The 16,530-nt window shown below is 41.6% G+C and overlaps 1 long non-coding RNA gene and 2 pseudogenes across 2 annotated transcripts in view; 1 reads left to right on the top strand and 2 right to left on the bottom strand.

The window, feature by feature from the left end:
* LOC100128885 (uncharacterized) overlaps positions 1–16,530 on the bottom strand; it is a 43,895-nt gene that overhangs the window by 22,697 nt on the left and 4,668 nt on the right. The window lies entirely within an intron of this gene.
* On the top strand, positions 4,760–5,294 carry BNIP3P44 (BNIP3 pseudogene 44; annotated as a pseudogene).
* Positions 12,142–13,283, bottom strand: LOC641746 (glycine cleavage system protein H (aminomethyl carrier) pseudogene; annotated as a pseudogene). The gene has a single exon (NR_033245.1). The product of NR_033245.1 is annotated as a glycine cleavage system protein H (aminomethyl carrier) pseudogene (transcript).

The raw sequence follows: 16,530 nt of genomic DNA, 5'->3' as shown, positions 1-16,530 counted from the left end.
AACACACAGGGTTATATAAATATGTGTATTATGTCTTGTAATAAAGCCTTGAAATAAAACTGAGTCAGATGAGAATTCTCTACTCATCCCACCCACTCAGTACTTGTAAATCCAACTAGGTAATTAGCTCAGGTCAGTTGGTTGTTTTTTTTGGGGGAAGTGGGGGGATGACGCAGGGGGAAGGGAACGGAGTCTGGCTCTGTCGCCCAGGCTGGAGTGCAGTGGTGTGATCTCAGCTCATTGTAACCTCCACCTCCTGGGTTCAAGCGACCTCCTGAGTAGCTCGGATTACAGGCGTGCGCCACCACACCTGGCTAATTTTTGTATTTTTAGTAGAGATGGGGTTTCACCATGTTGGCCAGGCTGGTCTCAAACTCCCGACCTCAGGTGATCCACCCACCTCGGCCTCACAAAGCTCTAGGATTACAGGAGTGAGCCACAGCGCCCAGCCAGGACAGTTTTTCTAAAATTAGCAAATTATCTCAGCCCAGATGATTCCAATCAGCAAATTATAAAATTAGGTTCTTTCAGAGGGGGGCGAGGTGGCTCACACCTGTAATCCCAGCACTTTGGGAGGCCGAGGTGGGCGGATTGTAGCAGGACGAGTCACAGACAAAACTCCTCAGACACCGGATTAAAGGAAGAGGTTTTTTATGTGGCCGGGAGCATCGGCAGACTCGCGTCTTAAGAGCCGAGCTCCCCGAAAAAGAGATTCCTAGCCCTTTTAAGGGGTTACAACTCTAAGGGGTCTACGTGAAAGTCATAATAGATCAAGTAAGGTGAGCAACGTGACTGGGGGCTACATACATCAGCTAACAGAACAAAAAGTTTTACAGTGCTTTTGCATACAATGTCTGGAATTTACAGATAACACCAGTAGTTTTGGTCAGGGGTTAATATTATTATTATTATTTTAACCACCAGGGCCAGGTGGTGACGCCAAGGGTGTCTAGCTATTTATCTTACTTCTGTTTCTTTCCAACTTTTTGCTTTCTCCCTTTTCTCCTGTCTTATAAGCTAGGGAAAAGGGGAGGTTGGGGAGAAACTGGGAAGGACAACAGGAGAAGTGGTGGTCTCATTCCATAGGATGATGAGGTCAGGAGTTCAAGACCAGCCTAGCCAAAGTGGTGAAACCCCGTTACTAAAAAAAAAAAAAAAAAAAAAAAATACAAAAGTTAGCTGGGTGTGGCAGCGGGCACCTGTAATCCCAGGTACTCAGGAGGCTGAGGCAGGAGAATGGCTTGAACCCAGGAGGCGGAGCCTGCAGTGAGCCAAAACCACGCCATTGCACTCCAGCTTGGGTGACAGAATGAGACTCCATCACACACACACACACACACACAAAATTAGGTTTTGTGTTGTTTTTTTTTTTTTCCCAGAGCAGGAGTGGGCAAGAAGGAAAGTGCACTTGGGAGAAACCCAAGTGGGCACCTGACGTTTAAAGGGAGTAAAATTAGGTGATTTCAACTAGCCAGTTGCCTCAGCCCAGGTGTATCTAATTAGCCAATTAGCTCACCTTAGATGATTTCTATCAGCCAATCAGCTCAGCCTAGGTGGGTACATCCAGTCAATTATCTAAATAGGAACTGCAGATTCCTCAACTCAGGCTCCAAATGCTAGATGTGAATAGCATCCTATTCACATAGTTCTAGGAATAGGTCCTAGAAAAAATATGTTTATATGCAGATGTATTTGATGCAATTTTGTATCCATATTTATACAGAATAAAGATATAGGTGGTAGAAGTATTGATACTGAAATTAAAAAAACTTTCATGCAGGTATAAACTTCTATACCCTAAAAATTATATCTACAATAGTACAACATCCTGTTGCATTTTATATATATAAAGGAAGCATTGGTCCGTTTTGCTCAATTTTGTGATACTAAAATGGGAATTATGTGAGACTAAAATTGAAATTAAAAGGTCATGGGAATCATTCATTGCCAGGTCAAGGTTGACTCCTCTTTTTCTGGTAAAAATGGGCTCGCATATGAACCAGCCTCAGTATAAAAGCACTCACCCAAATTTCAGAATGCTTATTTCTTCTTATAGCTTCTGTCAAGATAGGGGTTAATTTGTTTCTATGAGTGTGGGATGTAAAAGTACACTTTTGTATTTACATCTTTGTGGCTAGAGTAGGGTCTTCATGGTAAAGAAAAGAAAGTCTAGGTCTGTTTTCAGAAGATATACTGTGATACTAAAAGTAAAATTATGGTAGATGGTAACTGACCACTTTTTTTTTTTTTTTTTTCTGAGACAGAGTCTCACTCTGTCACCCAGGCTAGAGTACAATGGCATGACCTCGACTCACTGCAACCTCTGCCTCCCAGGTTCAAGCGATTCTCCTGCCTCGGCCTCCCAAGTAGCTGGGATCACAGGTGTGCACCACCATGCTCAGCTAATTTTTATATTTTTAGTAGAGACGGGGTTTCACCATGTTGGCCAGGCTGGTCTCGAACTCCTGACCTCAGTTTACCCACGTGCCTCCACCTCTCAAAGTGCTGGGATTACAGGCGTGAGCCACAGTGCCCAGCCTACCTGACCACATTTCTACCAGGTAATAGTGAACATGTGCTGAAGTGTCAAAGGTGGATTTTATTAAGCAGGCCAGAGCTTGTTTGGACGAAGTCTAGGCCCACTGTTGTTAGGCATCTCTGACTGTTTATAGATGAATGGTTAGAACCACAAGTGGGCTCATTTAATGAAAAACTAAATTTAAAACACCTTGGAGCCAGTATCAAGGACATTTTCACATTAAAAAATGTGGTTTGGTGTTTGGCTTGTATTAGATAAATCTTCACAAAGTGAATTGGCTGATTGGATTCACCTGGCCTGGAGGTAAAGGCTATGGAAAGAACCTCTGACCTAGTTATTTGTGGGGGATTTTTAAATTTACATTTAAATATAAGATTGTGGATAAACATATACACACTGGCTGGGCACTGGCTCACGCCTGTAATTCCAGCACTTTGGGAGGCCAAGGCGGGTGGATCACCTGAGGTCAGGGGTTCAAAACCAGCCTGACCAACATGGTGAAACCCTATCTCTATTTAAAATACAAAAATTGGTTGGGCATGGTTGCGGGCGTCCTGTAACAATCTCTTCAGCACATAGCACCTGCTTAATAAACATTACATTAGTACACATGAAAATGTTGTTTTCCCAATGCAGATTTATTCAGACATGGCTGCTTTTTGTTTGTTCTGTAAACTTTAAAGAGCCAGCAAAAAATATGAAAATCAGTTGTCTTCATTTTTCCTAAAGTTGGCTTATTGAATTCACCTGTTCTGCCTTGGTTGGGAAGAGACATGACCTCTGATCTACTTTTCTTCTGAGGCTTTATTACCAAACATGCATATATGGGCATTACCTAAACAAACCCATGAAACACATTCTGTGTGTATATGTCTTTATTTTTTGGGCGCCTGTAATCCCAGCTACTTGGGAGGCTGAGGCAGGAGAATCGCTTGAACCTGGAAGGTGGAGGTTGCGCCATTACACTCCAGCCTGAGCAACAAGAGTGAAACTCCATCTAAAAAAAAAAAAAAAAGATATAGGAGTCATTGGCTAGGCGCGGTGGCTCACGCCTGTAATCCCAGCACTTTGGGAGGCCGAGGCAGATGGATCACCTGAGGTCGGGAGTTTGAGACCAGTCTGACCAACATGGAGAAACCCTGTCTCTACTAAAAATACAAAATTAGCCAGGCATGGTGGTGCATGCCTGTAATCCCAGCTACTCGGGAGGCTAAGGCAGGAGAATTGCTTGAATCCAGGAGTCGGAGGTTGCAGTGAGCTGAGATTGCACCATTGTACTCCAGCCTGGGCAACAAGAGTGAAACTCCTCTTAAAAAAAAAAAAAAAAAGATATAGGATTCATTGAAAGAGGTAAAATGGTTGACTGGTGCCTAATGAAGTGTGTAGAAATCTAGTCTAACCTCTCCAGATGTGACTGTAGAGGACTATAGATACCAAATAGGCAGAGAAACAATTCTGCCTGCACATTTAGGAAACAAAATCCACTGTGCAGCACAATTGTGAGTTGACTGGAAGCCTGAGAGAGAAAGGCCCCTCTAGAGTAAACCTTGGTTGTCACCTTACATGTTTATATTACGTCTGGTAATTCTAGACAGTGTTTGGGAAATGTAATTAAAATAAAAATTTTCCCCAGCCCCAGAGTAACTTCACAATGATAGAATAGAAAAAAAAAAAAAAAAAACAAAAAAAAAACTGTTTTACTACACAATTAAATCAGAATGTGACATGCATCAGTCAATCTCCTTAAGAGATTGTAAAGAGAAAAATATGGTCACCATAATTAATCCACAAGCAGAAGAATTTGCACACCATGTCATACATAGTTTATCCTGAATTCACCTGTCAATTGGGGGAGGCCATGCATGTGTGCTAATTGATATAAACAATGACAAAATAAACTCACATCTTCATGACAAGTGGTAATTTTACAACTTGAATCCAGGTGCATGCTGAAGGTAGGCTCTCACTCTTTTACAAAAATGATTGAAAAGGGCACTATCTTTTTGATCATTTACATTTTAAAGCAATGGCTGTCTACTCCCTGAGCACTGGGCTGTATGTAGCACACCTACTTGCCTTCTACTGGTGGCTGGTGTCATCTTTTGACCCCTACCATCTGCTACTGAGGCACAGCCCACAGCATACAGCTCACATATTACATGGACACCAATTGCCACAACATCACTCCAGTGCCGCGTCAGAGAGTGAGGCCTGAGCTGCAGGAGAGCCTGCAGGCCTCCTGGGTAGGACTGCACCTTCGCAAGAATGGAAACGGGAGCAGTGTTTCAGCCTCACTTTCTAGGTGACATGAAAAAATACTGCTGGATTTCCAAGACAAGTCCGGATAGAGATAGCTCCAAGGGTTTTCACTATGATAGCCCACCTCATTCATAGACACCATGGGATATTAATAGGGCTTCTGAAACAGAAACCCAAAGCATTGGAAGAAAAACAGCTCTCAGTCTGAGCAAGATTATATTGAGAAAAAGAAGTTAAAAGCATTCTTTAAAAAACTCAGATTAGATATAAGATTGATCAAGTTTACCAGAAAATATTCCCCTAAACGAAATTTCTTTCTAAACACTCAAAGTGCACAGCTACTCTCAGCATGAGAAACATGAGTGTTATGAAGAAAGGGGGCATATTCTCAGCAGAATTTAGTAAGGTTTCTCTCCCATCTCTGGGGCTCTCATCTCCTAGCCATTGAATAGGGGATTTATATTGAAATACATCTGACAATTTCCATCAGCACTTTTTGGATGAAGAATTGAAATATGACTTTGTTCATACAGTGGAATATATTTGAGTTTGCAACATGGCTAACTAAAGAGGTATTATGGTTTTTGGGTGCCCACATCGTCCTTGTTTATTTGTCCTGTAATAGCAGCATTCCAATTTAGTGAAATGAAAGACACTAAAATCATGCTTACCTATAATTATGCCTTTGGATAAATTAATAAGCATGTGAGACTAATATCTACTGTAACAATTTGGTAGTGAATTTTCTTTGGATATTAGATGTAAATATCTAAGTATAATTTGTGTACTAGCCATAATGTACATAAAAATTTTTTAAGTTGTCTGTAACCATAATTCAATTAAAACCCTTTATATTGCAGAAGTATGAATAACGATTTAAAATGACCATTTAAGGGATCTATTCAAAGTAAATACTGTGGCTTTATATTCATACTATTGTAGAAAATACTGTTTAATTTTTTCTACAAACACTACACATAACTATTCTTACTGTTCTGAAGAAATAAACAGAAATCAAAGTACAACTCCAGACTTCACTTTTCATACACTGAACCTTTTGCAGTGTAAGTACTTCAGCCTGCAAATATTGCATAACTACTTTGGATAATCAGTATTTTTTGTCAAAAGAACTTACTCAGTATAGTAAAGTCTATCATTCTGTACTGCTAAATTTAATCCTATCCTTGTGCTCAACTTTTGTGTGTCTTAAAATGAGCTCTAATCTAAACAAATCAGTCTACTTTAAAAGACCAAAAATAAAAAAACAAAAACAAATAAATCTGAGGTACTAGATAAAGACAATCTTGAGTCAAAAATAGTAACAAAAGGTTTCTATGGCTGTTACTATGATTTACATATCTTTCAAAACAAAGAAAAAATCTACATATAATCTGAATGCTTTAAGAAAAGAGAGATTGGCAAAATATCCTCTCTTATTTTTAACAAAGGAGAATAAAGACTCATTTCTTTTTTTTTGTGACATAGTCTTGCTCTGTAGCCCAGAAAGGAGTGCAGTGGCCTGATCTTGGCTCACTGCAACCTCAGCCTCCCGGGATCAAGCGATTTGCCTGCCTCAGCTTCCCGAGTAGCTGGGACTACAGGCGTGCACCACCATACCTGGCTAATTTTTGTATTTTCAGTAGAGACGGGGTTTCACCATATTGGCCAGGCTGGTCTCAAACTCCTGACCTTGTGATCCACCCGCCTCGACCTCCCAAAGTGCTGGGATTACAGGCATGAGCCACCACGCCCAGCCAAAGCCTCTTCTTTCTAATTTATATTTTCTCCTACAATAGCCAGGTCTCTGGACATGTTCTTGAACTCCAGGACATCTGAATTTTGCACACTGAAAGAATGTTTGTGGGGAGAAAAGCAGAAGAGAGAAAGGTGTTATTTAAAAAGCAAATTCTTAGAGATTTATGAAGAAACTTGGATTCTCACACAATAACAAGAGACAACACCCCAGAAACACTAATAGATCACTGAGGCAGGAATTTTATGAAGATATTAGGACCCAAACTCATCACTCGAACAAATGGTCCTAATAGACATCCACAGAACTCTCCTAAATAGACATCTACAGAACTTTATTTAAAAACAACATAATATACATTATTCTCCATCACCATGTGGCACATACTCTAAAATATTGACCACACAATCAGAAATAAAACAATTCTTAGCAAATTCAAACATCCCAAAATCATACCAACCACACACTCAGATCACAGCTTGATAAAAATATAATTCAATACAAAGATAACCACTTGAAACCATATAATTACATGGAAATTAAACAAGCTGCACCTGAATGACTCTTGGGTAAATAATGAAATTAAGGCAGAAATCAAAACATTATTTGAAACAAATGAGAACAAAGTACAACATACCAGAATCTCTGCAACACAGCTAAGGCAGTGTTAAGAGGAAAATTTATAGCACTAAATGCTCACATCAAAAAGTTAAAAAGTGGGCCCGGGTGTGGTGGCTCACGCCTGTAACCCCAGCACTTTAGGAGGCTAAGGTGGGCGGATCACGAGGTCAGGAGATCAAGACCATCCTGGCTAACACGGTGAAACCCTGTCTGTATTAAAAATACAAAAAATTAGCTGGGCGTGATGGCGGGTGCCTGTAGTCCCAGCTACTCAGGAGGCTGAGGCAGGAGAATGGCGTGAACCTGGGAGGCAGAGCTTGCAGTGAGCCGAGATCACGCCACTGCATTCCAGCCTGGGCGACAGAGTGAGACTCTGTCTCAAAAAAAAAAAAGTTAAAAAGTTCTCAACAACCTAACATAATAAAAGTATGAGAGAAGCAAGAGAAAACCAACCCCTAAGCTAGCAGAAGGCAAATAATAACCAAAATTAGATCTGTACTAAAGGAGATTTAGACATTAAAATACAAATAACTATTGAAATCTACTATGAACACCTCTACGCACACAAACTAGAAAATCTAAAATGAATAAATTTCTGAATACATCCTAACAAAACTGAACAACAACAAAAATTGAATCCCTGAATAGACCAATAACAAGCTTCAAAACTGAATTACTAATAAGTAACCTAGCAACCAAGAAAACCCCAGGACCAGAGAGATTCACAGCTGAATTTTACCAGAGGTACAAAAAAGAGCTGCTACCATTTCTTCTAAAACTATTCCAAAAAATTAAGGCACTCCTCCCCAACATATTATATAAGAATAGCATCATTCTGATACCAAAACCTAGCAGAGCTAAAACAGAAAAAGAAAACTTCAGGCCAATATTCTTGATGACCACTGATGCAAAAATCTTCAACAAAATACTGGCAAACTGAATCCCGCAGCACATCAAAAAGCCAATCCATAGGCCGGGCCCAGTGGCTCACGCCTGTAATCCCAGCACTTTGGGAGGCTGAGGCAGGCAGATCACGAGGTCAGGAGATCGTGACCATCCTGGCTAACACAGTGAAACCCCATCTCTACTAAAAATACAAACAATTAGCCAGGCGTGGTGGTGGGCACCTGTAGTCCCAGCTACTTGGGAGGCTGAGGCAGGAGGATGGCGTGAACCCAGGAGGCAGAGCTTGCAGTGAGCCAAGATAGTGCCACTGCAATCTGGCCTGGGTGAAAGAGCGAGACTCTGTCTCAAAAAAAAAAAAAAAAAAAAGAAATGTACAGATCTAATGTTATTCCTACCAAACTACCAAAAACATGCTCAACAACAACAACAAAACTATTTAAAAATTCACATGGAACCAACAAAGAGCCCAAATAGCCAAGGCACTTCTAAGCAAAAAGAACAAAGCTGGAGACATTACATCACCCAATTTCAAACTATACTAAAGAACTACAGTAATTAAAGCAGCATGGCACTAGTACAAAAACAGATTCATAGACCAATGCAACAGAATAGAGCCCAGAAATAATGCCACACATCTACAACCATCTGATCTTCAACAAAGCTGACAAGGGGAATGTGGGAAGAATTCCCTATTAATAAATAGTGCTGTAATAATTAGCTAACACTATGTAGAAGATTGAAACCAAATGCCTTTATTACACCATGTACCAAAATCAACTCAAGATAAATTAAGGACTTAAATGTGAAACTTAAAATTATAAAATATCCGGCCAGACACGGTGGCTCATGCCTGTAATCCCAGCACTTTGGGAGGCTGAGGCGGGTGGATCACAAGGTCAGGAGATCGAGACCATCCTGGCTAACACAGTGAAACCCCATCTCTACTAAAAATACAAAAATTAGCTGGGCATGGTGGCATGCGCCTGTGGTCTCAGCTGCTGGGGAGGCTGAGGCAGGAGAATGGCATGAACCCAGGAGGCAGAGCTTGCAGTGAGCCAAGATCGTGCCACTGCACTCCAGCCTGGGCGACAGACCGAGACTGCATCTCAAAAAAAAAAAAAAATTATAAAATACCCTGGAAGATAACCTAGGAAATACCATTCTGGACATAGAAACTGGCAATAATTTTATGATGAAGGTAAGAAAAGCAATTGAAACAAAAGCAAAAATTGACAAATGGGACCTAATTAAAGAGGTATTTCACAGCAGAGAAAACTATCAACACAGTAAACAGACAACCTACAAACTAAAAGAAAATATTTGCAAACTATGCTTCTGAGAAACGTCTAACATCCAGCATCCATAAGGAACATACATAAATTTATAAAAACAACATTATAAAGTAGGCAAAAGACATGAACAGATGCTTTTCAAAAAAGACATACATGTGGCTAACAAGCATATGAAAAAATGCACATCACTAGTTATTAGAGAAATGCAGAGAAAAACCACAATAGCATCTCACACCAGTCAGAATTGCTATTATTAAAGTCAAAAAATCACAGATGCTGGCAAGGTTGAAGTGAGAAAGGAATGGTATACACTATTAGTGGGAGTATAAATTATTTCAACCACTGTGAAAAGGAGTGTGTTTATCACAAAACTAAAAAGAGAATTACCATTTAACTAAGCAACCTCATAATTGGATATATAACCAAAGTAATATAAATTATTTTATCATAAAGACACATGCACATGTATGTTCACTGCAGCCCTATTCACAATAACAAAAACATAGAATCACCTGGTATACCTATCAATGGTAGACTGGATAAAGAAAATATAATATGGCAGGGTACACTGGATCACACACCTGTTTGGGAGGCCAAGTGATGTGGATTGCCTGAGCTCAAAAGTTCGAGACCAGCCTGGGAAATGTGGAAAAACCCCATCTCTACAAAAAATACAAAATGAAAAATTAGGCTGAGCGCAGTGGCTCATGCCTGTAATCCCAGCACTTTGGGGGGCTGAGGCAGGCGGATCATGAGGTCAGGAGTTCAAGACCAGCCTGGCCAACATGGTGAAACCCTGTCTCTATTAAAAATACAAAAATTAGCTGGGTGTCGTGTAGTGTGTCTATAATCCCAGCTACTCAGGAGGCTGAGGCATGAGAATCACTTGAACCCAGAAGGCGGAGGTTGCAGTGAGGCAAGATTGCACCACTGCACTCCAACCTGGCAACAGAGGGAGGATCTGTCTAAAAAGAAAGAAAGAAAGAAAAAAAAAAAAGAAAAATTAGCCAGGAATAACGGTGCATGCCTGTAGTCCCAAGTACCTGGGGGGCTGAGGTAGGACGATTTCTTGAGCCCAGGAGGTTGAGGCTGCAGCGAGCCAAGATCACACCACTGCACTGCAGCCTGGACTACAGCATTAGACCCTGCCTCCAAAAATAAAAGGCTTAATAAAAACAAAATATGGTACATAAACATCATGGAATACTGTGTGGCCATAAAAAAGACCAAGATTATTTTCTTTGCAGCAACATGGATAGAGCTGGAGACCATTATCTTTAGAAAATTAATGCAGAAACAAAGCCAAATGCATTTTCTCATTTATAAGAGCTAAATAATAAGAACACATGGACACAAAGAGAGGAACAACAGACACTAAAGCCTAATTCAGGGTGGAGGATGAAAGGACAAAAAGGATCAAATCAATACTTGTTTAGTGCTATGCTTGTACCTCAGCAACAAAATAATCTGCACACCATAGCCCCATAACACAGTTTTATCTATAAAACAATCCTGCACGTGTACCCCTGAATCAAAAATGAAAGTTAAAAGAAAAAAAAAAAATCAACCAGCCATGGTGGCTCACACCTGTAATCCCAGCACTTTGGGAGGCCAAGGTGGGCAGATCACCTGAGGTCAGGAGTTCGAGACCAGCGTGGCCAACATGGTGAAACCCATCTCTACTAAAAACACAAAATTAGCTGGGTGTGGTGGCACACACCTGTAATCCCAGTTACTCAAGAAGCTGAGGCAGGAGAATCACTTATCACCTGAACCCAGGAGGTGGAGGTTGCAGTGAGCTGAGATCACACCATTACACTCCAGCCTGGACAAAAAGAGCAAAACTCCATCTCAAAAAAAAAAAAAAAAGAAAAGAAAAAAAATCCATGGGTGGGGGACAGTACAATGTAGGTGGAAGGACAGTACAATGTATCTGGTCTATGCTACAGATAGTGGCCCAGGTGCCGCTGTCCTCTCATTTGTGTCCATGAAGGCAGATGAGATTATGAACAGATGGTCCAGAATCCCAGGCTGGTGGAGAAAACGGGTTCGTACTGCAGATTCAGTGTCTTGGTATAGGAATATGTCAGGAGCCTTGTGGACACTTTTGAGGGTTTTGGCAAGAAATACCAGGATAAAATATGCTGTGGTGAAATTCCTGGGGGGTGGTGTCTATTCCTGGGAGGGGTGTGAACACCTCAATGTCTAGCATCTTTTTTTTTTTTTTTCCCAGAAACTCAAAGTCAGTGATTTATTTTTTATTATGTTAAAGGTGACAAATCTTGGCTTAAGAAAAACTAGATTTGTGACTAAAGGAAACATTTTCTTGGAGCTTTTCATTGTTCTGGCTTAAATTTCCTTTTAAAAAGTAACTTTCCGGCCGGGCGCAGTGGCTCACGCCTGTAATCCCAGCACTTTGGGAGGCCGAGGTGGGCGGATCAGGAGGTCAGGAGATTGAGACCATCCTGGCTAACACAGTGAAACCCTGTCTCTACTAAAAATACAAAAAATTAGCCGGGTGTGGTGGCGGGCGCCTGTAGTCCCAGCTACTTGGGAGGCTGAGGCAGGAGAATGGGGTGAACCCGGGAGGCGGAGGTTGCAGTGAGCGGAGATAGTGCCACTGCACTCCAGCCTGGGCTACAGAGCAAGACTCCGTCTCAAAAAAAAAAAAAAAAAAAAAAAAAGTAACTTTCCATAAGTTAAAGTTAGCACTTTCACAAATACTAGCAGAGTCACTAAATGAAATATCAACATCAAAACAAAAAACATGATTAACAAAAAAATATTTTATTATTTTGCTGCAAAGCTGTTGCTTCACTGTGTAAAAATAGCATCAGCAAATGCAGTGTATTGCAAAATTAAGATAGTATTGTTCCTCATCTGACACTGTACAAGCAACAAAAACCTCTTCACTCCCAGTTATTTCCAATAGAAAGATCATTAAGTATTTCAGGCCAAATCCAGGTATGGATATATGCAAGTTACAATATTATATAAAGCTTAAGAATAACATTATCTTTGAATTATGTAATTTTTATAACCAGTTTTTACCATGGATAATCTCATGAATTCTGAATACCAGAGCCTAGACTAAAAATCATAGGATATTGTGGAAAAGACGTGTATTATCTTTATCTATAATCATTAGAAAGTTAAAGGGCATTTTCTTTCATTAGCAGTGTTAACAGTAGTTTTTCCTCCCCCCCCCCATCGGTAATGCTGAAAGTTGCTATTCTAAGTCTTCCATCCACCACTAATTTAAGACAGCTCTGCTGGGTTATTTCACACTAGTTTATTTAGGGGTTCCATTTTCACTCCTCAATAGATTTTCTCTATCTCTCATATACTTCTTCACTCATAAGTTCATCTAGTTCTGAAGGGTTACTTAGTGTCATCTTGATCAGCCAACCATCTTCATAACAAGATTTGTTTACAAGTCCTGGATTTTCTCCAAGAGCTTCATTAATTTAAGTTACTTCTCCTGATAAAGGAGAATAGAGTTCACTAGCAGCTTTCACACTTTCCAAAGCACCAAACTCATCTTGTTTGTTCTTTTGTCCCAACTTCAGGCAGACTACAGTAAACAATATCTCCCAACGTTTCCTGTGCAAAACTGCTGACTCCCAGTGTTCCAATATCATTTTCTGTTGCCATCCATTCATGTTTCTCTGTGAATTTACGCACCGAGAGCAGAGGTGGTCCCGCGCGCAGCGTCCGAACAGCGCCCACCCCCCAGCTGCCAGGGCCTCGGCGGGCAGGGCGCGGCGGGTGACAGGGCCGCGTGAAGGGTGCGCCCGCACACATGCTCCGCGCCACTCGCAGCGCCACTCTCCAGCGCCACGTTCGCAGGGGTGCTGGGGGTCGCAGCCCTAAGCCTCAGCCAACGGCGCGGGGAGGCGGGGCGGGGCGGGGCCTCTAGTAGGTATCTTTGTTAGTGGGTGAAAATCCTGTGGTGGTAGCTGTGGGGAAAAGGTGATCTGTTATCAGCGCTCCTTTCCTTTAAGTTTTCAGTCCTCTCTCACCCTGGGAGGTGACCTGAATCACAGGACAATGGGCAGTGTGACAGCCTGTGTACAGGAGAGCAGAGCCTCCCTTTCCCAGATACCTAGAGTTACATTCCAGGCCAGGCCTCTGAGATATCTTTCTTCTGGCACCAAATCTGTAGTTTGCTGAATATCAAGTAATTCTCCAACACCAACGCACTGTCTAAAACTTGAATTCTGATTGTTAGTCCAAGCTGCACCATTTTGTAAGCCCCCCACCACCACCATTTCGCAGACCATGGTCAGAATGAAACATTCCACGGGGATTCGGGCCGTGCCAAACATCCTGCCCAACCACAGGATTTTCTTATCACACACGTCTGTGTAACAGTCCAAGCAACCTCCTTATTACATCTTGCTGGAAAAAGGGCCAAACTGCCTGACCACAAGAACATCTTATCAACATCCATCCAGGCAGCAAGCCATACTGCCTAGATCCCTCCCACCAGTCTGAGCCAACATACAATTCCATTTTATATCCTTCCTAAGAACATGCTGACTTCAGGGTACAACACTTCCTAATCCAAAATCTTGATATTTTCTCACTCCATTTGCCATTCCCCTTCCACCTTCTTTCTAATCTTGTTTTCTCCTCCCTATGAAAGAAAGCCTTTGTCTGCCTAAACTTTGCAATCCTTAAAGATTTTATAGCTGGTACTTCCTTCTGTTGCAATACTCTTTTAAAATTCAAATGTTTTAATAGAAACCTAATTTTGTTTTATTTTACAAAATCTAGAAACTGCCTCAAAACAATAACAACTTTATTTTCAGTAAGACCCTCCCATTCCTTTTCCATTTTAACTTTAACTGCATCTGCCTGTGGGTCCCCAGCTTTCCAGGGGTCTGTAGCTTCTCTCAGTATAAAGGCTTCTTCCACGGCTGGTGTGAGCAAGCTGGGACATCTGCAGGGGCGGCTCCCCAGAAAGAACTAACTGGGACTTTTAATAACCTCCTTTTGCAGACTCAATATTAGCCTTAGCTTGAAGTCACAGGGCTCAAGCCTTAATTTCCATGTCAGTTATTCATTTGGTTTTTGAAACTAAGTGTTTGAAAAATCCAGCAAAATTACTCAAACATGGTGTTAATATAAGAGAAGAATTTTTTTTTTTTTCTTTTCAGACAGTCTTGCTCTCTTGCCCAGGCTGGAGCACAGTGGCACAATCTCGGCTCACTGCAATCTCTGCCTCCCACGTTCAAGAGATTCTCCTCCCTCAGCCTCCTGAGTAGCTGGGATTACAGGCACCCGCCACCACGCCTAGCTAATTTTTGTATATTTAGTAGAGACGGGGTTTCACCATGTTGGCCAGGCTGGTCTTGAACTCCTGACCTCAGGTGATCCGCCTGCCTTGGCCTCCCAAAGTGCTGGGATTACAGGAGTGAGCCACCGCACCCGGCCGACAGTTATATTTTATACCTCAATAAGAAATGCAAAAGTATCTATTCCTTTCAAAAAATAAACCCGTTATTATTTTTTTTTTTTTAATTTGAGACGGAGTCTCGCTCTGTCGCCCAGGCTGGAGTGCAGTGGCGCGATCTCAACTCATTGCAAGCTCCGCCTCCCGGGTTCACGCCATTCTCCTGCCTCAGCCTCCTAAGTAGCTGGGACTACAGGCGTCCGCCGCCACGCCCAGCTAATTTTTTTGTATTTTTAGTAGAGACGGGGTTTCACGGTGTTAGCCAGGATGGTCTCGATCTCCTGACCTCGTGATCCGCCCGCCTCGGCCTCCCAAAGTGCTGGGATTACAGGCTTGAGCCACCGCGCCCGGCCCCATTATTATTTCTATTAAAAATTATGTAGTAGGCCAGGCGTGGTGGCTCACACCTGTGATCCCAGCACTTTGGGAGGCTGAGGCGTGTGGATCATGAGGTCAGGATCACGAGGTCAGGAGACCGAGACCATCCTGGGTAACACGGTGAAATCCCATCTCTACTAAAAAAAAAAAAAAAAAAAAAAAAATTAGCCGGGCATGGTGGCACACACCTGTAGTCCCAGCTACTCGGGAGGCTGAGGCAGGAGAATCACTTCAACGTGGGAGGCAGAGGTTGCAGTGAGTCCAGCTTGTGCCACTGCACTCCAGCCTAGGCGACAGAGCGAGATTGTCTCAAAAAAAAAAAAATTATGTAGTAGACAACTAGTCATATGGGAACACTTCTAGGAGTATCAAGTTTCAGCTCATAAAATTTAGCATAAATCTCAGAAATCAAGATGATAGGATATAGAACATAGTGTCACAAATTTACTCTGCCAAAGGAGGAACTGATGTTTTCATAAATCTATGTAACTCACCAATTATTTACCACATTTTCTTGTGGAAATGTATTTATTTTCTGCAGCCAAAATGAAAGAGAGTTTTTTTCTATTCTTTTCCTTGGTAGCATTCTAAAAGCTAAGTCTTGGAATTCTGTTTGTAATCACCCAGCCATTTAAAAAAGACACACACACCTGAGAAAATTCCAGAACTCACTCTGGGCAAGAAAAAGGTAAATGAGAATCGTTAACAAATGGAGTATGAAATTAGGTATTAATTTACTCTGAAACCCACCTCTTTGATACCCTTTGTGAACATTTTCTTACCTTTTAAGTCCCACTAATAAAATGCAAGTTACAGTTTAAAAGCTGAAGTCAAAATAAGTGAACAAATTTTTTCAAGGTAACAAACCTAAAGAGTGGCAGTACTGATGAGAAAACAAATGTGTCTGACTCACGTGTCAAATCAGGCCATCTAATCACTTGAAAGATTCTCCCACCCCATCCTACTTATTTAAGTTCTCAAAGACCACCCTCTCAGGAGACACTGCCCTATGCCTCAGTGAGTGCCCCAGATGCTTTTTACTTTGCAAGTTCTTGCACCATTTCACTGGGGTCATGTTTGGGTTTTTTGTCTTTGGGGATACTACTTTTTCTTTCACAAATCTTAGAGAATACAGGTGGCAGAAATTATTTCTGTGCTTCACCCTCAATGGCAGCATCTGATTGGCTGACCAGCAATGTGTCTCCAAGAAATAAGCTGGGTTGGGCAAAGACAATCTTAATATCTAAAAAAGCCTGGACACGGTAGCTCACGCCTGTAATCCCAGCACTTTGGGAGACCGAGATGGGCAGATTACCTGGGGTCA

This window comes from Homo sapiens, chromosome 7 (genome assembly GCF_000001405.40).
Source record: "Homo sapiens chromosome 7, GRCh38.p14 Primary Assembly".
Lineage (NCBI taxonomy): Eukaryota > Metazoa > Chordata > Mammalia > Primates > Hominidae > Homo > Homo sapiens.
The sequence above is the reverse complement of the archived record's forward strand: the minus strand, read 5'-3'. Positions and strand labels throughout refer to the sequence as shown.